The sequence below is a fragment of the Homo sapiens genome, chromosome 2 (assembly GCF_000001405.40).
Source record: "Homo sapiens chromosome 2, GRCh38.p14 Primary Assembly".
Classification (NCBI taxonomy): Eukaryota; Metazoa; Chordata; class Mammalia; order Primates; family Hominidae; genus Homo; species Homo sapiens.
This window is the reverse complement of record NC_000002.12, coordinates 165,323,021-165,348,078: the sequence shown is the minus strand read 5'-3', so window position 1 is coordinate 165,348,078 and position 25,058 is coordinate 165,323,021. Positions and strand designations below refer to the sequence as shown.

At 34.4% G+C, this 25,058-nt stretch overlaps 1 protein-coding gene across 5 annotated transcripts in view; it reads right to left on the bottom strand.

The window, feature by feature from the left end:
* SCN2A (sodium voltage-gated channel alpha subunit 2) overlaps positions 1-25,058 on the bottom strand; it is a 152,891-nt gene that overhangs the window by 44,226 nt on the left and 83,607 nt on the right. For all 5 annotated transcript variants that reach the window (NM_001040143.2, NM_001371246.1, NM_001040142.2 and 2 more), the window contains 5 exons: positions 24,579-24,923; positions 21,095-21,227; positions 16,511-16,749; positions 5,610-5,783; positions 3,168-3,524 (listed from right to left, as the gene is read on the bottom strand). In NM_001040143.2, coding sequence (NP_001035233.1) covers positions 3,168-3,524; positions 5,610-5,783; positions 16,511-16,749; positions 21,095-21,227; positions 24,579-24,923 — 1,248 coding nt within the window. The remainder of the gene's footprint in view (positions 1-3,167; positions 3,525-5,609; positions 5,784-16,510; positions 16,750-21,094; positions 21,228-24,578; positions 24,924-25,058) is intronic.

The following is a 25,058-nucleotide window of genomic DNA, read 5'->3' as shown; positions in this document are numbered from 1 at the left end:
CAAGAGTATATACATTAAATTACTTGTTATGGTAGTCATTTTTCTATTCCATTGGTTTGGGTTCTAATTAAGCAACTCGGTGTAATTACTTCATATTTAAAGCATAAGAGCCTGATACTTCTCACAGAGTCTACTGTCCTGTATCCCTCAGTCACTGGGTACCTTGTTTCCTTGTTTGGGATGGTCTTTCTTCCTACCAAGCTAAATCTTACATCTCAGTTAAATATATTTTAGGTCCAAACTCTTTGACAAAGACTTCCCTGATCAACCTTCCTATTGTAAAGCAAGGTTTACATTTTGTAAACTTGACACATGGCACTTTGTTTTCATATTTTTGGACACATATTAGTTACTTCCTATTTTTAATTCTATTTGAGTACATGTTATATCACTTTGTTATATTTATCTTCCCATGCCTTCCCAACTTCTCCATGCCTTCAAGATTCAGGACACTAGTGTTGGGTATGGTTAATTTTTTTAAATTATTATTATACTCTAAGTTTTGGGATACATGTGTAGAACATGCAGATTTGTTACATACATATACACTTGCCATGGTGGTTTGCTGCATCCATTAACCCGTAATCTACATTAGTTATTTCTCCTAATGCTCTCCCTCCCCTAGCCCCCCACCCCTCGACAGGCCTCAGTGTGTGATGTTCCCCTCCCTGTGTCCATGTGTTCTCATTGTTCAACTCCCACTTATGAGTGAGAACATATAGTGTTTGGTTTTCTGTTCCTGTGTTAGTTTGCCGAGAATAATGGTTTCCAGCTTCATCCATGTCCCTGCAAAGGACATGAACTCACTCTTTTTTATGGCTGCATAGTATTTCATGGTGTATATGTGCCACATTTTCTTTATCCAGTCTATCATTGATGGGCATTTGGGTTGGTTCCAAATCTTTGCTATTATGAATAGTGCTGCAATAAGCATACGTGTGCATGCATCTTTATAGCAGAATGATTTATAACCCTTTGGGTATATACCCAGTTATGGGATTCCTGGGTCAAATGGTATTTCTGGTTCTAGATCCTTGAGGAATTGCCACACTGTTTTCCACAATGGTTGAACTAGTTTACACTCCCACCAACAATGTAAAAGCATTCCTATTTCTCCACATCCTCTCCAGCATCTGTGGTTTCCTGACTTTTTAATGATCGCCATTCTAACTGGCGTGAAGTGGTATCTCATTGTGGTTTTGATTTGCATTTCTCTAATGACCAGTGATGATGAGCTTTTATTCATATGTTTGTTGGCCACATAAATGTCTTCTTTTGAGAAGTGTCTGTTCATATCCTTCACCCACTTTTTGATAGGGTTGTGTTTTTCTTGTAAATTTGTTTAAGTTTTTTGTAGATTCTGGATATTAGATGGATAGATTGCAAAAATTTTCTCCCATTCTGTAGGTTGCCTGTTCACTCTGATGATAGTTTCTTTTGCTGTGCAGAAGCTCTTTAGTTTAATTAGATCCCATTTGTCAATTTTGGCTTTTGTTACCATTGCTTTTGGTGTTTCAGTCATGAAGTCTTTGCCCATGCCAATGTCCTGAATGGTATTGCCTAGGTTTTCTTCTAAGGTTTTTATGGTTTTAGGTCTTACATTTAAGTCTTTAATCCATGTTGAGTTAAATTTGTAAAGCATGAAGATAAGATTAGAGAAAAAAGAATGAAAAGGAACGAACAAAGTCTCCAAGAAACATGGGACTATGTGAAAAGACCAACCCTAAGTTTGATTGGTGTACCTGAAAGTGACTGGGAGAATGGAACCAAGTTGGAAAACACTCTTCAGGATAACCAGGAGAACTTCCCCAACCTAGCAAGACAGGCCAACATTCAAATTCAGGAAATACAGAGAACACCACAAAGAAGCTCCTTGAGAAAAGCAACCCCAAGACACATAATTGTCAGATACACCAAGGTAGAAATGAAGGAAAAAATGTTAATGGCAGCCAGAGAGAAAGGTCGGGTTACCCACAAAGGGAAGCCCACCAGACTAACAGCAGATCTCTCGGCAGAAACCCTACAAGCCAGAAGAGAGTGGGAGCCAATATTAAACATTATTAAAGAAAAGAATTTTCAACCCAGAATTTCATATCCAGCCAAACTAAGCTTCATAAGCAAAGGAGAAATAAAATCATTTACAGACAAGCAAATGCCAAGAGATTTTGCCACCACCAGGCCTGACTTACAAGAGCTCCTGAAGGAAGCACTAAATATGGCAAGGAAAAACCAGTACCAGCCACTGCAAAAACATACCAAATTGTTAAGACCATCAACATTATGAAAAAACCGCAGCAGCTAATGAGCAAAATAGCCAGCTAGCATCATAATGACAGGGTCAAATTCACACATAACAATATTAACCTTAAATGTAAATGGGCTAAATGCCCCAATTAAAAGACACAGACTGGCAAATTGGATAGAGTCAAGACCCATCGGTGTGCTGTGACCCATCTCACATGCAAAGACACACATAGGCACAAAAAAAACGGATGGAGGAATATTTACCAAGCAAATGGAAAGAAAAAAAAAAAGCAGGGTTTGCAATCCTAGTCTTTGATAAAACAGACTTTAAACCAACAAAGATTAAAAAAAGACAAAGAAAGACACTACATAATGGTAAAAGGGATCAATGCAACAAGAAGAGCTAACTATCCTAAATATATATGGTGTTAGGGGTGGTTAATTTTATGCAGAAATGACAATTAATGTTTTTAGAGACAATGTTACTTGCTCATACCATAGTTTCTAGGCACCGAAAACCCCATGAGCTCTTAATAAACTGAGATTGTTGCTAGTTTTTAAATTTGTAGAAAACCAAATCTGAAACGTTTTCAGGTGTTATTGCTAGTACTTATAAATAAAATGAGTGTTCTAAGTAACACTTCCATGCTCTAGTACAAGAACTGAAAGATAAATAACAGAAAAGTTTCTCTCCTTGTAGCAAGAAGGATAATGAAAGAAAGAATAACTTTGGTTCAAAAGGTAGTTTAAGGGTTTGTGTGGATTACAATGGTCTAAACTATACATGGCTCTTACAGTCATGAGTAATAGACAATAGGAAGTGGCCTTGATTTAAAAAATACAAAATATTCTTCAGTTGAACACACTTTTTAATGATTACATTATCTTTTAATGAAAATGAGGAAAATGTTTTTGCTACATACCACTAGATTTCCAATCACCATGACCATCATGAAGACAGTAAGGCACATGGTTTGGCCAGCGACCTCCATACAGTCCCACATGGTCTCTATCCACTCTCCACACAGCACGCGGAACACGATCAGGAAGGAGTGGAAAAAGTCATGCATGTGCCAGCGTGGGAGTTCACAATCATTGGAAATCTTGCAGACACATTCTTTGTAGCTCTTACCAAAGAGCTGCATGCCGACCACAGCAAAAATGAAGACGATGATGGCCAATACCAAGGTGAGGTTTCCTAGAGCCCCCACAGAATTGCCAATGATCTTAATTAGCATATTTAGAGTTGGCCAAGATTTTGCCAACTTGAAAACTCGGAGCTGGAAATAAAAGCAAGAACAGTGTTAATGCTCTGCATTTCTAAAAAAATCTGCAATTTTATTTTATTTTTATTTTTTTATTTTTTATTTTTATTTTATTTTATTATTATTATACTTTAAGTTTTAGGGTACATGTGCACAATGTGCAGGTTAGTCACATGGACACAGGAAGGGAAAAATCTGTAATTTTATTAACAGGGCAAATGTACAGGTAACTGTCTCAATTATAGAATGATGAATTATTTATTTGTCAAATGATCACTAACAAATATAGCAGTGACTTGCTACCATAGAGCATTCTTTTTTTCATTTTGAAATGGTCCATACTGTAAATGAAATAATTAAATTATACAGTTTTTAAATTGGCAGTTTAATAAGATACACCAAATTTTCAAGTATCCTACATAAGCATATGTAATATACACTTTTGTTTCTCCTTAAGGAATTAAGATATTTCAGATTAATGGTGGTTAATTAGCAGAGATCCAGTTTCAGAGAAGTAGGAACTCTCATTATTTTTAAAAGGCCAAAGCAGATATAGTTTTCAGTGTACTTTAAATATGCTGAAATGCACAGGTGAGAATAATATCAACACTTAAATTACATAAAGTGGAAGCAGAAATGAACTAATTTCTTTGTCTTTAGATTGTTTTAATCTAGCTATATCTTTAGCTTGCTGTAACTTTAGGCTATATTTTAAACATATATTATATTCAAATACAAAAATACTTAAACTTAAGTAAAACGCTAGGCTTCTTTTTAACCTTTATATCTTCATAGACTTAATTCAGTGTAGTGTGTAAATGTCTTTCTCATTGTGTTTGACATATTGGTTGTATTAGCTTTAGAGTTCACTGAAGTACCATTTATGGTTAAAGAGCAGCAGCATTTTATTTCTGATGCTTCAGTAAATGTCAGGCTGAAAGTAGTGCATTATTTAATGGCATCAAAGTGACCCAAAGGAGTAAATACATGCACCAAAGTATTTAATTTATTCCAGAGAATAATTTATGCAAAAGAGCCTGACACACTAAGTAAGATTCTAGTGATACTATGCTTCCTATTTCCCTTAACTGCATCACACTATCATGAAGGTTTACTAAATATATTTTTTTAAGTTCTTGCCCATATTACTTGTTTTATCATTTTAAATTTTTGTTCTGTTTTTTGCATCCTTCTAGATTCAAATTAGATTCATAACTATCTTTGAGGATTAGGGAAGGAAATATAGTTCTAAGGATTACAACTCAAATTTGAACATTGAAAGCAGAAAGGGAAATTGTAAACAGATTTCATGAAAAAGTCTTCAGCCTAATCACTACTAAGGTAAATCATCTATAGGAACGTGTCCTTAGTAACCGTGTACAGCCTCTGTTATTTGAAAATAAATCACTAACTTAGAGCCAACTCAAAGTAATAGTATAACAAAACATATCAAACTTTCACTGGAAATGTGTCAAGTGATATTTTATCTCTGAATTTTAAGATCTAATAGTTTTTATAAAAGATCAAAGAAAGATACTTTCTTTAAAATTAACAAAATATAGTACAGTTAACTCTTTCAAAGAGTGATTTGGTGATTTTCTGATGTGGCAGCAGTCATATGGGGAGCTCTGTTTGCTTATCCTTCTCCTTTGTACACTATCCCCTGTCTTAACTCTTTCCTCTACGGGGACAAGGTGAGCAATGAACAATTCCATAATTCTTTAGTTCCTGGCAGAAAGGGGAGCTCATCCTAGGTCCCAAGGAAGCTTTGTACGCAGTTATGCAAACCTCAGATAACTGAGAGTTGACTATGGTGTTGTTTAATTGTGATTCGAGTTTATCTGTGACTCCCTGTTTCCTCCTCTCTATTAGCCTTCCATTCAATAACTAAGAAGAGAAGTGTAGACTATTCATTTAAGTGAACTTTATTAAAGCTATGATGAAGAAGAAACTACCATTTGGTGGTATGGCAATCCAATTTGTTTTAGAAGTGTATTCAAATAATATTATAATGATGGGAAATCTTGCCATTTTTACTAGATGAGAATGAAGACTAATTAATTACAAAGTACATTTTATGAACACTCCCAGTTAATTTACCAGCCGGAATGATCGGAGAACTGACAATCCTTCCACATTTGCCAAACCAAGTTCCATTAAACTAAGGCTCACAATAAAACCATCAAAAATATTCCAGCCTTCTTGAAAGTAATAATATGGATCCATGGCAATTATCTTGAGAAACATTTCTGCTGTGAAGATCCCTGTGAAGACCTAAATGAGAAGTGTAGTTCATTATATGAGCAAATACTCTTGAAACACGAATAATTATTGAGCAACTTAATTTACTCCCAACAAATATAAATTAAATTCTGATTTTAAAAAATTGGTTTAGGTCCAACAACTTAGTATCTACAAATGCTTTGCATTCAAATCAATAATTGTTCACTATATATAATGTTTATCAAATGATAAAGAGTACACGGATTAAGTCAATAAAATTAATATTATTTTCATATGAAAGGTGCAACTGACTCATTGTGATCAACTGTTTGGCTCTGTCTCTGATCTTTCTAGCCCTCCAAAAACTTACCAAATGATTACCTAGCAGTGCGGGCTTCCATCACCAAGCCAAATGGATTGGTCCCCTCCCTTGGCCCTGCAGATGAGACTGGTGCTAAGATGTCATGTAAGCTGTAATAAACATGCTCACGGCTAGCTCTACAGATAGTAAGAACTCTTAAAAAAATTTCCTTTTGTTGGCGAAAGGGAAGCAGTATTTTCCTTTCTCCATTTCTATTATCTAAAACTATTTCAAACTTTCTCTTCTGCACATAACCTCAGCCATTTTTGCTTATGCCTTCCCATCTGAGAAGCACAGTCTCAGTACTTCAGCGTCTTAGAGGTGATGAAAGTCAGCCAGCCTGAACTTTGTTTCCCTTTATCTACTAGACTACTTACATCCGTAACTGTGCTTTGCCTTTCTCTTCTTGTTAAAATGAAAGAAGTGCCCCTGTTTTGAGCTAATCTCTCAAATTGTGTTATGTGTTTTCCTTTGGACTTTGCAAGGAATTCATTCTCAATTAACCAACATTTCTACTACTGGCTACTTCCCGTTTCTTTATAGAAAGTAACAGTTACCGAGTCCTTCTCTCCCTTAAAAATATCACCACTGTGGGCCGGGCGCGGTGGCTCACGCCTGTAATCCCAGCACTTTGGGAGGCCGAGGTGGGCAGATCACGAGGTCAGGAGATCGAGACTATCCTGGCTAACACGGTGAAACCTCTTCTCTACTAAAAATACAAAAAATTAGCCGGGCGCGGTGGCGGGCGCCTGTAGTCTTAGCTACTCGGGAGGCTGAGGCAGGAGAATGGCATGAACCCGGGAGTCGGAGCTTGCAGTGAGCCGAGATAGCGCCACTGCACTCCAGCCTGGGCGAAAGAGCAAGACTCCGTCTCAAAAAACAAACAAACAAACAAAAAATATATATATCACCACTGTCATAAGAGAAACTCTCCTTGCACTCTATTTCCCCTTCCAGGTGCCACCATCTATCCTTTCCTTATGGCCAGATTTCTTTCGAAGATTGCATACTTGTCTACACTTGCCAGTTCCATTTCTTCACCTTACTCCACAACCCACCAAATGGCTTTAACAAACTTCACCAACAAGACCGACATCACCAATAAATCCAAACGAAATTTTTTAAACAATTATCTTGCTTGCTTGCCCTTTTAGAAGTTTCAGGCATTGTTTTCTGTTCCTTGTTCATTGAAATATTTTCTGCCCTTAGCTTCTGTGATCCACACCTCCCTGGATGCTACTCACCTGATTTTCTTCCTCTAACAAATCATTTGATACTGGATTTATTCAGAACTCTCTCTGTCTAGACCCCTCTTACTTTAGTTTTCCTTTTATAATAAGTTACATTTTTATAATAGTTCATATTTCAAAATCTATTTTTCTGTTCAAGCATACCTCCTAGTCTCTAGAAATACATACCCACCTGCCTATTCAATACCTACATTTGAAAGACTATCTCCCAGGCATCTCAAATTCAACAGGTCCAAAATTCATCTTACTGCTTTTTCTCCACAGTTTTGCTTCTCTTCTGATATTTGCTAACTCAGTAAATGGAATCTCTCTCTACCTAGGTGGTTACCTCAGAGACCTGACAGTCTTAGTGACTTTTCCAAATATTACTTGAATACTTCAAATTGAAATTCACCCATGTGTATATTACTAGACTTTTCTTTTTTGTTCAGTAGGTCTCCATTGTTTGAAATTTCATGGACATTTAAATAATAGATAGCACTTTTTGTCTGTTTTCCAATAAATTTTTGCCTACCCCAAGGTCTCAAAGATGTTCTCCTGTGTTTTATTTCAGATGTTTTATTGATTTAGCTTTTCTGCTTAGTCTACAATCCTTATTGATTCTGGCACTTGGCATAAGATCGAAGTGGAGGTTCATTTATTTTCCATACATTTATTTATGTGTTCCTGATATTTTGTTGAAAACACTTCCTTTCTTCTATTTCCTTTCTGTAGTGTTTATTTCAAAAAATCCATTGACATGTAGTTTGGATCTATTTATGAACTCAGCATTATGTTCCATTGATATCTTTGTTTATGCCAATACTGTAGATTCTTGATTAGTACAGCTTTATAACAAGCCTTGAAGTCAGGTAGGTTAATGTTTTCATTATTCTTTTATCAGTATTGTTTTGGCAATTTTAAGCACTGTGTATTTGCATAGAAAGTCAGTTCATCAATTTCTACAAAGAAAATCTGTGACATTTTTACTGGGATTGGGTTGAATTGATAGATACATTTGGGTAGAATTAATTTCTTAATAATATTGAATCTTCCATTGCATGAACATGGCATATATATTTCCATTTGTTTAAATCTTCTGTAATTATTCTCAGCCATGTTTTGAGGTTTTTAGTAATAGGTGTCTCGAAATGATTTGTTAAATTTATTACTATATTCTTCGTGTTTTTTGATATTATGGTAAATAAAATATTTAATATCGCGTTTATTTCTAATCAGTTTTAAAGATTTATTAGGATTGTCTACAATATGATCATGTTGATGAAATAGATAATTTACCACATTTCAATATTTATGCATTTTATTTGTTTTGTTTTTTTTTCCTTTAGTTCAGTTGATAAAACTTCCAGTGCAAGGTCAAATAAAAATGGTAAAAATAGACATATTTGTCTATGTTAAGGGGAAAGCACTCAATTTTTCTAAGGGGCAAGAATTCACTACCTCAACATTTCACTGATAAGTAAAATATTAGGTGTAGGGTTTTCTTTCTTTTTCTTTTTTTTTTTTTGAGACAGAGTTTCACTCTTGTTGCCCAGGCTGAAGTGTGGAGTGCAGTGGCTTAATCTCGGCTCACTGCAACCTCCGCCTCCCGGGTTCAAGCAATTCTCCTGCCTCAGCCTCCCTGTTAGCTGGTATTGCAGGCGCCTGCCACCACGCTCAGCTAATTTTTTCTATTTTTAGTACAGACGGGGTTTCACTATGTTGGCCAGGCTGGTCTCGAACTCCTGACCTCAAGTGATCCACTGCCTCAGCCTCACAAAGTGCTGGGATTACAGGCGTGAGCCTCCACGCCCGGCTAGATGTAGGGTTTTCTGAAACGTCCTTAACAACTTGAGATAGCTACTTTCTATTCCTAGTTTACTGACAGTTTTTCTCACAAATGACTGTTGAGTTTTGTCAGATCCTTTTCTGCATCTATTGAGATGATCTTAGGCTTTCCTTTATTCTTTTAGAGGTAATATGGCCAATTAATTGATCACTTTTCAAATGTTAAATGAATCTTACTTTTCTGAGATAATCCCCACATGTTTAAGAAGTATTTATTACTTTTTTCTCTATTGCTAGATTTTATTGATAATATTTTGCTAATGATTTTTTGCTTCTGTGTTCATGAGGGATACTTTCTTGTAATTTTCTATGTAAAATTAATATTGTAACACTTTAGATAAAATGTTCTGGCCCGGCGTGGTGGCTCATGCCTGTAATCCCAGCACTTTGGGAGGCCGAGACGGGCGGATCATGAGGTCAGGAGATCAAGACCATCCTGGCTAACACGATGAAACCCCGTCTCTACTAAAAATGCAACAAAATTAGCCAGGCTTGGTGGCTGGTGCATGTAGTCCCAGCTACTCGGGAGGCTAAGGCAGCAGAACAACGTGAACCGGGGAGGCGGAGCTTGCAGTGAGCCGAGATCGCACCACTGCACTCCAGCCTGGGCGAGAGAGCGAGACTCCGTCTCAAAAAAAAAAAAAAAAGTTCAAATCTTTTCATAATTTTACACTTACCTATGTTATAAATCCCCACTTTAAACAATCAGTTGTCTTTTTAAAAAATTTACCACAGCAACAGAAAACCAAATACTGCATGTTCTCACTTATAAGTGGGAACTAAACATTGAGTTCACAGGAACACAAAGAAGGGAACAACAGACACTTGAGGGTGGAGGGTGGAAGGAGGATGAGAATTGAAGAACTATCTATAGAGTACTATGCTTATTACCTGGATGATGAAATAATCTGTATGCCAAACCCCTGTGATTTACAATTTATTTATGCAACAAAGCTGTCTACATACCCCTGAACCTAAAATAAATGTGAAAAAAATTAAGGAAAAAAAGATAGTCTTTCGTATTTACCCACATTTATTCATATCTAGTGACCATCATTCCCAGAAACAAATTTCCATCTGATATTTTTCCTATTCGGCCTAAAGAACTTCCATTAACATTTCTTGTAGTGTAGTTCTGGTGGTAACAGCTTTTTTAGGTTTTTGTTTATCTTAAAATTCTTTATTTCATTTTAATTTCTGATGGATAGTTTCACTTTCTGTAGAATAATGGGCTTTTATTTCTTTATTTTATCTGGCCACTTTCTTCTGGCCTGAATTATTTCTGGTAAGACATTAGTCTCATGTATATAGTAAATATTTTTCTTCCGGTTGTTTCCAAAGCTTTTTGTTATTGTTGTTTTCAGCAGCATGACTAAGATGTGCCTAAGTATGGCTTACTTTATATTTATCCTGTTGATGTTCACTAACATTTTATAAGGTAACATTAAGGTCTGTAAGTTACTATTTTTCACCAACTTTGGGAAATTTTTGGCCATTGTTTCTTCAAATATTTGCTCTGTTCCATTCTTTCTATTTTCTCCTTCTGATTCTCCCATTATATAAATATTTAGACTACTTGATATTATCCCATATTATAGTTAGACTCAGTTCATTTTTCCTTTTAATTCTCTAGTGTTCAAATTGGATAATTTCTATTAATGTGCTCCAAGTTAACAACTATTTCTTCTGACATCTGCAATTTTGTTTTAAACACATCCAGTGAATTTTTCATATTAGAATGTGTACTTTTCAATTATAAAATGTCTGAGTTATTCCTTTTTACAGTTTTCATTTTTTTCTGCTCATGTTCTCTGTTTATTCCTTATGACCCCTTTTTTTCCTTTAAATTGCTCAACATATTTACAATAGTGCCTCCAAAGTCCTTTTTTGTTTATTCTAACAATTTGTTCCTGTCCAGATCTATTTCTATGTACCGCTTTAATCTATTAACTATGAGTCACATTTCCCTATTTCGTTGCATATCATCTAATTTTTATGTGACATGAATATGTTTAATATTGGGAATACTTCAATCCTGGAAATCTATCTTCTAGAAGTTAATACAGCATTATGAAAGGTGATATATACAAGAACATTTACTGCAACATGGGGGTAAAGTATCTGGAATCAACTTGAACATCCATCAATAGGTGATTGGAAGAAAAAATAGTGATACATGCATACTATGAAATATTAGTATGCAATTCAGTGGCTTGTAATATATTCACAGACTTGTAAAATCATCACCATTATTGAATTTTAGAACATTTTCATCGCCTTAAAAAGAAGCTGCATACCCATTAGTTAGTTGTTGCTCCCATTTACCCTAATCCCTACTGCCTGGCAACCACTCATCTCCTTTCTGTCTCTATGGATTTGCCTGTTATGAACATTTCATATAAATGTAGCAATATGATATGTAAATTTTGTGACTGGCTTTGTTCACTTAATATAATATATTCAAGGTTTATTCATGTTGTAGATTGTAGCAATACTTCATTCTTTTTTATGGATGAATAACATTTATTGGATGGATATTGTTTATCCATTCATCAAGTGATAGACATTTGAATTGTTTTTAATTTTTAGTATTATGAATAATATTCTATAAGCATTCATGTTGAAATATGTTTTTAATTCTCTTAGATATATATATCCGAAGAAATTAGTAAAACTGCCAGGTCATGTGGTAACTCTACCCCAAACTTTTTGGGGAACAGCTAAATTATTATCCAAAGTGACTGCATCATTTTATATTCTCAAAGTAAAGCATAACCATTCTAATTTTTCCACATCCTTGATAAAAAATGGTATTGGCTTTCTTTCTGATTATAGCCATCTTAGTGTGTGTGAAGTGGTATCTCATTTTAGTTTTGATTTGCCTTTCCCCTAAAATTAGCCAGTGACGCTGACCATCTTTTATGTGCTTATTGGCCTTTTGTCTAACTCCTTTTTCAATATGTCTATTCAAATATTTTGATCATTTTTAGTGAGTTATCTATTTTATTTGTTGTGGAGTTATAATAATCCTTTACATATATTAGATACAAATCATGATCAGATATCTGGGTTGCAAATGTCTTCTTCCATTCTTTAAGTTGTCTTTTTACTTGATGATATTGTTTGCAGTATGAAAGTTTCTAATTTTGATAAAGTCCAATGAACCTTTTTTTTCTTATTGCTATTGTGTGTGCTTTTGGTATCATATCTAAGAAATCATTGCTTAATAATAGGTCATGAAGATTTACTTCTAAATTTCCTTCTAACAGTTCATAGTTTTAGCTCTACCTTTAGGCCTATGACCTATCTTAATTTTTATATATGTTATTAAGTAAGGGTTCAATTCCATTCTTTCATATGTGGATATTCACTTGTCCAAGCACCATTTGTTGAAAAGGCTTCTTTCCTTAATAAAATTGTCTAGTGGTCTTGTTGAAAATTAATTTAACATAAATATGAAGACTTACTGTTGGAATTTCAATTTTATTCCATTGATGTATATAGCTATCCTTATGCCAGTACCAAACTATCTTGCTTACTTTTGCTTTGTAGTAAGTTTTAAAATTTGGAAGTTTGAGTTCTCCAACTTTATTTTTTTTCTAGTTAAGATTGTGTGGCATATAGTCTCTTGCATTTTCATATAAAATTTACAGTCAATTTATCACTTTCTGCAAAATAGGTAGCTGGGATTTTGATATGAATAGCGTTAAATTTGTAGATTAATTTGGTGAGTATTGCCATCTTAACAATATTTTCCTCTAATCTATGAATATAAAATGTGCTTTCATTTATTTAGTAGTTCTTTAATTTCTTTCAACAATATTTTATAGCTTTGAGTGTACAAATCTCACACTTATTTTATTAAATTTATTCCTAAGTATTTTATTATTTTTCATGTTGTTATAAATAGAATTTTCCTAATTTTATTTTCTGATTGTTCATTAGTAGTGTTTAGAAATATAATTGAGTTTTGTATATTGATCTTGTATTCTGCAATCTTATTTATTAGTTCTAACAGCTGTGTGTGTGTGTGTGTGTATTTTATAGGATTTTCTAAATACAAGATTATGTATTCGTTAATAGAATTTACTTCTTGTGTTCCAATCTAGATGCCATTAATTTCTTTTTCTTGTCTTATTTCCCTGGTTAGAACTTTCAGTACAATATTGAAAAGAAGTAGCAAGAGCAAATATCCTTGCCTTCTTCTTGACCTGAAGATAAAAGCATCTAAAGTAACTATTAAGAATGATGATAGGTGTGGGGTCTTTTGAGATGGTGTTTATCAGGCTGAAGTTCTTTTCTATTTCAAGTTTGCTGAGTGTTTTTATCATGAAACACTTTGGCTTTTTCCATGTGATTACAGCATCTATAGAGATGATTGTATAGTTTTTTAAAATTAATATGATATATTACATTAATTTTTTATGCTGGTCCAGCCCTGCATCACTGGGATAAATTTCACTTATTCAGAGTACATAATCTAAAAATCTAAATATGTTATGTGATTTGGCTTCTAGTATTTTGTTGAGGATTGTTGTGCCTATGTTCATATGGGATATGGCTGGTCTATATTTGTGTCTGTGTTCTTTTCTTGCATTATTTTTGTCTGGCATTAATATCAGGGTAATTCTAGCTTCAGAAAGTGAGGTGAGAAGTATTCCCTTCTCTTCTATGTGTTGGAACAGTTTGTTAAGGATTGATGTTAACGCTCCATTGAACATTTGGCAAAATTCACCAGTGATACTATCTGGGCTCAGGCTTTTTTTGGCAGGAAGTTTTCTTTTTTTTAATTGTGAATTCAATGTTTACTTATTATAAGTATATTGAGATAGTCTATTACTTCTTGAGTCAGTTTCAGGCGCTTGTTACTCCCTAGGAATTTTTCAATTTCACATAGGTTATCTAGTTTGCTGGCGTTTAATTTTATTTTATTTCTTATGCTCCCTTTTTCTTTCTAAAAGATCCATGGTAATATCCTCTCTTCATTCCTACTTCTAATAATTAGTGTCTTTCCTCTTTTTTTCTTGGTTAGCCCAACTAAAGATTTGTCAATTGTGTTGATTTTTTCAAAGAAATAACTTTTGGTTTTATTGATTTTTCTCTGTTGTTTTTCTCTTCTTTAATATTTGTCTTTTCTGTTAACTTCAGGTTTAATTTGCTATTCTTTATCTAGTTTATTAAAAAGGAGCTTAAATTAGCAATTTGGGAAATCTCCTATTTTACTATAGACATTTAGAGTATAAATTTGTCTTTAAATATTGTTTTAGCTGCCCTCATTAATTTCAGTTTGGTTTGTTTTGATTTTCAGTCATCCTAAAGTATTTTCTAATTTCTCTCATGACATCTTATTGACTCATTGGTTATTTAAGAGCAAGTTGTTTAATTTCCAAATATTTGTGATTTTCCACATTGACTTGTTATTGGTTTCTAATTTCATTTTATTTTTTATCAGAAAAATATTCTGTATTATTTTAATTTTTTTAAGTTTATTGATGTGTGTTTTATGACCTAACCTATAACTTATCCTAGGGAATATCCTATAGGCATTTGAGAAGAATGTGTATCCTGCCTATGGATTTTCTACTATTCCATAATTCACCTTAGATACAGATCCTACATTCCTTAACACGTAAGACCAGCCCCAGCTTGAGTTGTCTATTTATTGTTTATTTCTTTCTAGAATCCATCCTCCTTCTGGTAATGGTATCCTAATTATTGTCTTCATAATTTCACTCATTTACTCTGCCTCCAGTGATAAGATATGATTCTGATTTAGGCGAATATGGCATTAAAACCAAGAGCTAGGGTAACTGACTGGTTTAGAAATGGCCATGTAACTCCAACCAGGTCAATGATATTCAATTTGTGGGCCTTAATTAAAGCTACTAGTTAGGAGGCACAAACTTTCTGTACATGGAGCTACATTAGTAGAATAAAAGTTGATAGAATCTTGGCAATAGTAGGAAAATGCCCAGCCAGAGAGGAAGGTCACATATTGGGAAGAAGAGAGACAAGAAGCTGATTCCCAATGATGCTGGCTGAGAACCTGAATCTAGCCAGGTTAGAACCTAGAACTAGTTCCAAATGGGCTTCAGTAAAGTGAGGTAATGAATTCCCTTTATTTTTGCTTAAGCTCATTCAATTTGGATCACAATATATTACCTCCAAAGGCTTTCTTGTTTCAATTGCCACCCCACCACCCTGCTTTTTTTTAGAAATAATGTTGAAGAAATTCTTACATAGCTCTAAATTTGAACTAGGTAAAATTATTATCCTTTCCTACTCTAAGCGTCTGTGATCTTTGCCCATAGCTTATGATAGTCTCTGAAATAGCTTTCAGAGTCTGATACAGCATTCAGACCTTCCATTTCTCTGTTAATTTCTCATGGATACAGTTTCCCAACTGCGAAATACAGACAATTTATAGTAAATATCTTAAGACTGGTTTTGTGGGAATCTAGAGAGAGAGATTTAATGTAAACCATTTAGTCCAATATCTGATACAAAATAAGAGGCCAACATATGCCAACTTTATCATTTAATTCAGTTAAGTCCTACCTGAAATATAATTCGAAAATATAGTGGTTACTTCAGAGCCTAAAAATATTGTATATTATACTTTAGACCGTATTATTTACAATCTCTATATAACCTGCTTATATGTTCATTTATCAAGCTGGGAACTTAATAAGCATTTTATACTTGTATAAATATACTTTTTTGCGTGATTTTCTTCATTTTGTCTCTCTGTATAAGACCACTTTAAAATCTATCACTATAGTATACTATATTATAATATCAATATGTATCCAGTAAATGCTAATATATATTTTAACAAAATTAAATAAATAATTTCTAAATTTAATATTGCTAAGACTGTAGAAGAAACAAAAACAAAAAATAATAATCCCCCAGATGATGTCCCCTCCCTACATAGTCCATCTTCAAGTACTTACAAGTGATATTTCAAAATTATCTGACTTGGGCATATTTTATCATTTGTTTAGTAAACACAGACATGTCCTAAAGAACCTATTCTAAGGTTCTTAAAAATATGTCAGAATTTTGCTATAGATCAATGTCCTTGGAGGACAATTCAGAATCATCTTCTAATAAATAAGCAATTTAAATTCAATTCTAAATCAAATTGTACATAAATTCTTTGACTCTTTTGCACTATGGTAGCAACATTTTTTTGTTATTTAAAAGGGATGCTAAACATTTGATGTCAAGATATACATGGCCAATTAGTTGATATTTAATTTGAGAGCAATATGTAAAATTCACTAAGGCAATTATAAACTCTTTCAAGAGGAAGAGAAACTCTCAGTGAGGCTTACCAGGTTTCCAACAGACAGTACACTGCTGAACTGCTCCGTCATGGGATAGTGCTCCATAGCCATGAAGAGTGTATTTAAGACAATGCAGATGGTGATGGCCAGGTCAACAAATGGGTCCATTACAACCAGGTTGACAAGGTGTTTCACCTTTAACCATGGTTTACAACAGTCCCAAATCAAACACATATTAGCAAATTTATACCAGCATGGTGGGCATTTCTGTCTGGATTCTTCAAGTTCTGGAAGAAAAAAAGTTAGAATCCTCATGAAAACTGCTTACTTTCTATTAAGCAGATTTGGTTTAAATTAAAAGGAATTTAAAAAATCTAAAGTTGTTAAAAGATATTATGGGTTAATCTGCTGGAGGAACAGGGAAAATTTTACAATGGGTTTGCTGTCATAGAAAGGATCAGTACAGAAAGGCTAGTAAGCTTTCCAAATGTATCCTGGCTAAACATAGCTTCCAAGATTCTATTGGCAACACTAAACTGTCTGATACTTATCTTCAAGGCTGCTAGAAACTAATGGGTAGAACTTGCATTGCATACACTTAAAGCTCATCCATGTTCCAGGTAGAGCAAGAAGTATATATGTTATCAGAGATATCTCAGGAGATGTCCTAAGAACCTTAATCAGTCACACTGAATGTCAGTTTCTTGGATTAGATATGTTTTGGTGATCTTCTAATTAGATAATTTTGTCAGTGTCACCAATCTCAGTTTAAAAGTCTCAAATTAAATTTTATTAGATTATAGGCTTGCATATTAGACACAACAAAGTTCCATCTCTCTACATTTCTCATTTAACTAGAGGGCATAAAAGAAGAGAAAATACCCCAGCCTAAGGAACTGGAGTCCTCACTGTTGTTACAAATCAACATTTCACAAAGTGGAACTCATTTATTACTGGAAAAATACAAAGGATTTTAGGTGAAACATACATATAATTCATACATTTTCATGGTAAACATTTATTTAAATGTATTTAAATATATAACTCTCATATCAAACATGACATAAAATTTTATATTAAAATGCATTTATTCAAGGAAAATGTACAATGATGTCAAGAAGAATTTCAACCAAACATTGGGAGAGAAGACAGAAATGCACAGATCTTTAAGGTCACACCCAAAATACTGAAATTTGGTGAATATTGGCAAAGAAATTTGGGGAATTAGGAAGTGAAAAACTGTCTACCATCTTCCTTTGGCAAGATAATCTCTTCATCAACTTATGAGTGGAAAAATATGCAGAATTTGTTGTTTTCTGTCAATATCATTGCTGTACACCCTATTACCTGTTCTGCCAAAATGTGGCCACCACCTCTTAGCACTGAAATAGAGGGAAGGTTTCTTCTTTTTAAATCCATGGCATAGTTGACTCTAGTCAGTCACTTTAATACTATTGTGGCAACTGGAACATCTGTCCATATCTGGCACAGTTTGCTATGAACTAAACCTTGTAAAGGTGGAACCAGCATATAAAAGGACAATCACAACCACAGATGATAATGTTTCTTCTACTAATCAACATTTGCCACTAATTAATTCTATAATACTATTTTCCTAAGTAAATTAATTTATTGCTTATTGTTTTTAAAATTTCCACTAAAAATAGATTTGTCAATTGTCTCTTTGGATATTGAAATTCTTCAAGTGCCCAGTTTGTTTCCATTTCCCTTAATACATAACTTTGTAAACAATAAATAATATTTGATTTATAATTCAGAGAAAAATATAGTTATTATGCACTAGTTATTTTGTAAATACTTCTAAACTCCCAAATAACCTTATATTTACATTGAAGGTAAAAAGGAGGTATTATTATTTACAGTAAATAACAAAAAAGAAACTACAAAATTTAATTTTGTCTGTATACTGCCATAATATGGTTTTTTCTTTCCATGCCAGCTGTCATTTAGCAAATAACGAGAAGCAAACAGGAACTGGATAGAAAAAAAATAAACTGGAGAAAAGTTTAAAAAATGAAATTCAGCAGGTGTGGCTCATCTTGACAGTAGGAATAACCGGAGCAAAGTTGTTTAAGTTCTAAAATAAAATCATTCAATTATTCATTCCAAAAAAAAGGGGGGAATCTCACACTTTAAAACAAAGCAAAGCATTCAGGAGAGAACTGCAGCCACATCTCCATTATTCCTGCATGGGTTATCCACATAGAATCACTTACAGTAAATCTGTGTCTTTTGCTGGCTCACCTTGATTCTTCAGGCGCTTCTAACTCACCCTCCCACCATCCTTCACAAAGGTGTGACCAGAAAACATTTCTATGTGATTTTGCACTTTTAAAAATTTGAAACGCAAATGGTTCATTTTTGCTTATCCACTACTGCTTCATTAAGCATGAGGCTATCCATTACCCTGGACAACGGAGACTTGGCTGTAGTTAAAAAGAAGGAGAACAAAAATTGCCAACCGGATCAACAAGCCTGGTTCATAAAAAGGAAAGGTGAAATAAACAATAATCAGACATAGAAGAAAGGATCCCCAAGAAAAGAGATTATGTCAACCAGGAAAACTTTGCACCATTATCAGAAACCAAAAAAAAAAAAAAAAAAAAAAAGGACTATCTTAAGTCTGCTTGAGTATGCATGTATGTGATATTGCTAACAACCAACCTTGACAAATGTCACACTCAATGTGTCTACATACAATTGAATAAAGAAAAGTCAGTTTTCATTCTAGATAACTGATTAAAAACAGAATAAAAACTTGGCCATTATTTCTCACAAATACACAAGTCAAAAGCTCTGCAGATAATAAAACGAAAACACTCTCAGTCTTCAGCTTCCTAGATTGCACTTATTCCTAGAACATCCTTTCCATCCTAAGCAACCCCATGTCACATAGTTCCATGGAGAAAGGTGTGGGTGCATTTATTTTGAACTCCAAATCTTAATTAGTTGGCAAGTCCAATCTTGTGGATATTTGAGGTTTTTTAAGTAATGTCTTATTTAGCTCAAACTTAATGCTATCAGAAGTGCAAAGCATGACTGTTGATTTAGACTTACCCTGTCTCCTTCTCTACTTCCTGCTTTAGGGAGCAGACATGCTGCTGACATCGGTAGCAGAACCACTGGCAGCTTCCTCTCAGTGGTTTTGCTATGGCAAGGAGCGGAAGGCCAGACAATCTTCAAAAGATTTACCTGGAGGGACAGGGAGGAGCAAGCTACTGGCAGCTGGGGGGAAGAGGGAGTGCAAGCTAACGCAGGCGAGGTTGGGGAAGAACGTACTAGAGTTTAATATTCAATTGAAATCAGTGAATTGCATTAGGATACTGAAATAGGACACTATGAAAATTGGGTTTTGTAATACTGACTTGTCTGTGATGTACACAGTCGTCTACACTGTGAATTTTTTCTGGCTGTGATTTTCAGGCTTTTCGTATTGGTATTAATAATATTATGGGATCTTTGCATACAGACAGGAAAAGAATTATTCCAGGAATCTATCCAATCTCAAGAGAAAATCTAATTATCAATAAGAAAGGGACGTGTATGCTTGCTCTCTTTTGCTTTCATTCTCCTTTTCTCTTCTCCCTTGACACATCTACACACACTCACACTCACACACATACCTGGGAAGGGGTACAAGGGAGAAGGTTTGTAAAGAGATAGGGAGAGGAGGGAATAGGAGGGCAAGGAAGGGGGATAGAATACATTTTACATGAAAATATTTTCCAAGTAGTTGAAGTTGACAGTTGTTTGAATTCACTTACAGTATGGAAAGGCAAAAACATGTGAATTAACAAAAATAACAACAACAAAACAACTAATATTGATAATATTTATTAACTGTCTTCTGCATGCCAAATACATCAGTGTTTTATCTAAGAAGGCTTATTTAATCCATTCAACAACCTTATGCCTAAACATCATCATCCACATTTTACTGATGAGGAGACTGAAATTCAAAGTCACAAATTAACACATTTAACATATGGCAGAGCCAGAAATTGATCACAGATTAAGCTGTCCCCAAAGTCTTTATTTTGGCATTCTGAGATCCAGACTGCTACACATTATGTTAACTATTCAGATAAAATCTGCAACTAAAGAGAAAGCTGATATATTGTAAGAATCTGGTCAGAGAAAGGCAAAAGTAGGACTACAAAATTTTAAACACTTTGCTTCAAGGAAGTTAATATCAAACCCTAATTCACATTTTTAATTTATATTTCTGGTTAAGTCATAGGATTTTATAACTTGTGTCTCAAGCAGTTAATATAATCCAAATGGCTTAGCATCATCATAAGTATAAGCATTTATCATTACACTCTTTTCAACGTCATGCACACAAGTTTCAATGTTTAGAATTTAATGTATGAAAGTGGTGTTCAAAATATACCTTACATTTGCAGCAGCTTTCTGGAGGCTAAATATAAAAAAAAAAAATCTGTGGAAGATAATAGAATCCATGAGTTATGCACGGATTTTACTGTTATTTAGTAAAATGTGTAATAATGATACAATATCAAGTCAGGAAGTATTTTATTGAAATTTATGAAGTGTTTTTTCATCATTACCAAAGCACCAAGTAACTGTGACGCAGGACTTTTAACATACCTTCCATGGTGTTGGTCAAAATACTGGCTATACTCATTGCTCTTTGCCTTGATGTAGGATCTTCCAATAAATCCATGGAAACATGATAAGAACTGGACCGTCTCTTTCTTATTTCTGTTTCAGTAGTTGTGCCCTAGAAGTAGAATTTCAGATGAAATAACCACTATTTTTGAAAGCAGCAAAGCCCAAAGCATTCCTACAACAGGTGTTATTTAACTAAATATACACCATGCTTTCTCAGATGTAAAAAGCTCACTAAGATATTGTTGGAATGATAATTCTTTGGGGGTTGTTTAAAAGTCTGTCAGATTTTCAGCTTTTGGGGAGCCCTGGGTTTGTCAAGGTGGGCTTTCCTATGCCTCTATCCCAGGGATTTGGGCTGGAGGGACCAGGTCCACTACTGGACAGATAACCTTTTAGCATTTCAGCCAATCCCACTTAGGACTTCAGACCAAAACATATTGTTTCTTAATTTTCACCCAGGTTGAGTTTTTAGATCTTTATAGACATATATTCAGGTAGTTTAATATATGAACAAAAAGGTTTGAAAGTCTCCTTCATATGCATCAGTAACAGTTCCCCTAAAATGTGAATTCCAGTTGCAAAATGCCTTCATTCATTAGACACAGGTAATATTTCCCAACATTCCTAATTACAAAACTAAATTTTAGAACTAGTCTATAACTTTGTCCTATATTTGAAAAACAACTTAATCCACAAAACAATCCACCCTTGGCACTGAGACTATAATTTAAGGAGATAATACCAATGTGGGGGACTGTGATTTTTAGTAATGATACAATGATCTGATAATCTCCTACTCCAGAATAAACTCATCAGGATTTCAACATGGGTGGAAATTTATTCCTACTTCAGGAGATCAAACAATGATGTCAATTATCACAGGAAAAAAAAAGGTAAAGCTAAAGAATTTCAAATGCAGGTCTGAGTGTTAATAATAAATTAAAAAGTTTCATTCCTTTGAGGACTTTCCCTATTTCTAAAAGAACAATATGATCAAAATATAATAATATGATCAAAATATTATTTATTTTGGTCACATCCTATTATGATGTGAACAATTAGCAGTATTTTATCTTTTGTAAGTTGAATTATTTTAATGCATACATATTCAAAACCAAAATTTCCACTCATTGCATATGATTGTCACTAATGGTGATAACTATTCATATAGGTCATTCTAAAATTAATTTTAAGGTAAAAAAACAAGTAAAATTAGTAAGAAAAGAAATAACCTATCTCTAAAAATAAAAGTCTTTTAATCCAAAGGGTGCCTCTTAGAATTTAAAATATTTCAGCTTGTCAGAAAGAGGCAAAGTTTTAAGGAAAAAAAAAATAGTCACATGAAGATCATCTAGTCCCTTCTGTTCTACACAGAAGCACATGTACAAACCTAGATTTGTCTAATTTTCAAATAGATTCCAAAACTGCTAATGACATTACTCGATTGAATTTATGTGTAAAGTACAGGAAATGATGTGCTTTCAAGGGTGTCATTTGCCCATAGCTATTTATTTTCTATTGTCATTTCACCTCTGCATTCTCCAAAAGCCTACTTCATTTGTTTGCACCTTCAGCTCAACTTTGCAATAGTACAGTGCCCTGCCTCAAAGCACTTAAGATTGTAAGATTAAAGAATGAAGTTGAGGAAGCAGGAAATAAAGGGACCACACAAAGCTTTGCTTCAAGCTGGCCCCAACTTTGCCTTCAGCGATTTGTCCCATCATCTCTGATAGGACAGGAGATTTATGATAATTATTGATAAATGCTAAATAATTTCTGACAGACTGACAGTCTGTCTGTATTCCTGCATGGTAATTGTAGATTTGCTTTTGTTTACCCAATTAACATTTATCAAGATCAGTGATAAACATACTTTATTATGTATAAGAATTATGTGGGATGCTTGTTAAGGAAGAAGATTCCCAGACCTTGTTCTCCTCAGTGGTTTGGTCTGAAAAGGTCTGGGTAGGCACAGGAATCTCTAGTTTTAAGAAGCCTCCCATGAGATTCTGATGTAAGTAGTATGAAAGTGAAGTATATTTTGAGAAACATTGGTTAAAATGAAAGTGTTTATGTGTTTATTTCCTTAACCATCTCTTCTTTTTGATTTAAAGAAATTAAAAATAACTCAGTGGGAGGCAATATTTCACTGTTGATAGAATGTAGGTTCAGTAACCAGCATACCTGGGGTCAAATCTTAGCTCCACCACGCACAAGCCTCAGTTTCCTCCTCTGTAAAATTGGGATAATGTTACTAACTATCAAAAAGGGTTGTTATGATGCTTAAATGATTCTTAACACATGTACAGTGTTCTGGACAGTGTCTGGTACATGGTTATCTATGATCATTTTTTAAGAAGAGCTGATGTCCTCTCTTCATTCTTCCTGGTTCCTCCACTATAAAGTTCTACTTTTCTCATGGTTCAACCTGACTGCAGGATACCTGGACACTTCTCTGGTAGAAGGAGGTGGGGAGAGGCCATGCAAAAAATGTGAAGAAGATAATGGCTATTTTATAATCCAAGATAAGAAGCTCCTCCATTAGGTAACTGAAAACGAACTCCGTATCATTTTAATGTGGCTCAAAGAGCTTGTTCAATGATAATAAATGGAGCTATGTGAAAAAAAAATCATAAGAAGACATTTTGAATGCTATAAAATACAATCAAGTGACATTGCCAAAATATGTCTTGATAGCTAATGGAATTTTATTTAATACCAACATTAAAAGCTTCTTATGGTTTATGAAGTAAATTTCAATAATATAGCCCTGTAAGTGTCTAGTATGTAGCTGAAATCCTTTTCCATGTGATTGGTTTTGGGCCACTTTGTTTACAATAAGAGTTTATGACAGTAATATAAAAATTGGAATCTGCTCTAAAAATGACAGCCCATGATTCCAAACCAGGTACTTTTTGAATGGCTCTTCATGTATAAATTTACAATGGTTGAGATCATTAGAGTGGATGCTAAAAAGGTTACAACACTCTGACCTGCAAAGAGAGGCAATGTTGTACTATGGGATTTAAATCTATTTAGTAATAGTATCTACTGCAAGTGGAAGTATTCAAATCTCCTTTTAAATGAACAACAATCACAAAATCCTTAAGTATTTATTTAATTAGTGAGCATTAATTTCCTTGGATTTAATTTAACTATATTAATCAAACATTATGCTTGATAAATTGTTGCTTTGCTTTTTGGCGAGTTTCATACCATAGTAATAATGATGAAAGATTACTTCTAATTATATTCTCTGACAGCCAACCTAGGTTTTTAATTACTTTGTAGAAAAGTCTGAATAGAACAGTTTCACAAGACAGTTAACAGCTTGATTGAACAAACTCCCAGCCTTTGGGCAACAAACTCAACAAATTCTTAGATGTGGAAATGGAAAAACACTCCTGCCTGCACCAGTCACAACTCTCTTCACATCAGCTGCAATTTTAATTGGCCTCACCTCTGGTAGGAGCTGCCCAGCAGATGTGAGGGTAGAAGGGCCCCCGACCAGGGAGACCACACCATTGCAGTCCACAGCGCTATGCATCTTCCCATTCATGGGCAGGATGGGGAGCACCCTGGAGGCACGGCTGGCCTGGCTGACATTGCTGTGGCGCCGTTCTCCATGTCTGTGCGGCACGAACAGAGAGTCTCTTCGGCTGTCATTGTCCTCAAAGGTGCTGTGCTCATCATCAGCAAAGTCATTCTCAGAGCCAATGTCCTTTGCTCGACCTCTGAAGCTGAAAAGGCTCGCCCTACTGTTGCGTCTTGGAGAGAAAAGGGAGCCACGGATGCTCAGTAAGGACTATGAATAACAAGAGAAGAAACAAAAATGAGATGAAGAGAGTTAAGAGCTGGCATTCTGAAAAACAGAATTTGATTCATTGTGTCATAGTCATTGACTTACTCAAGGATAAGTCATTGGACATGTGGAAGAAAG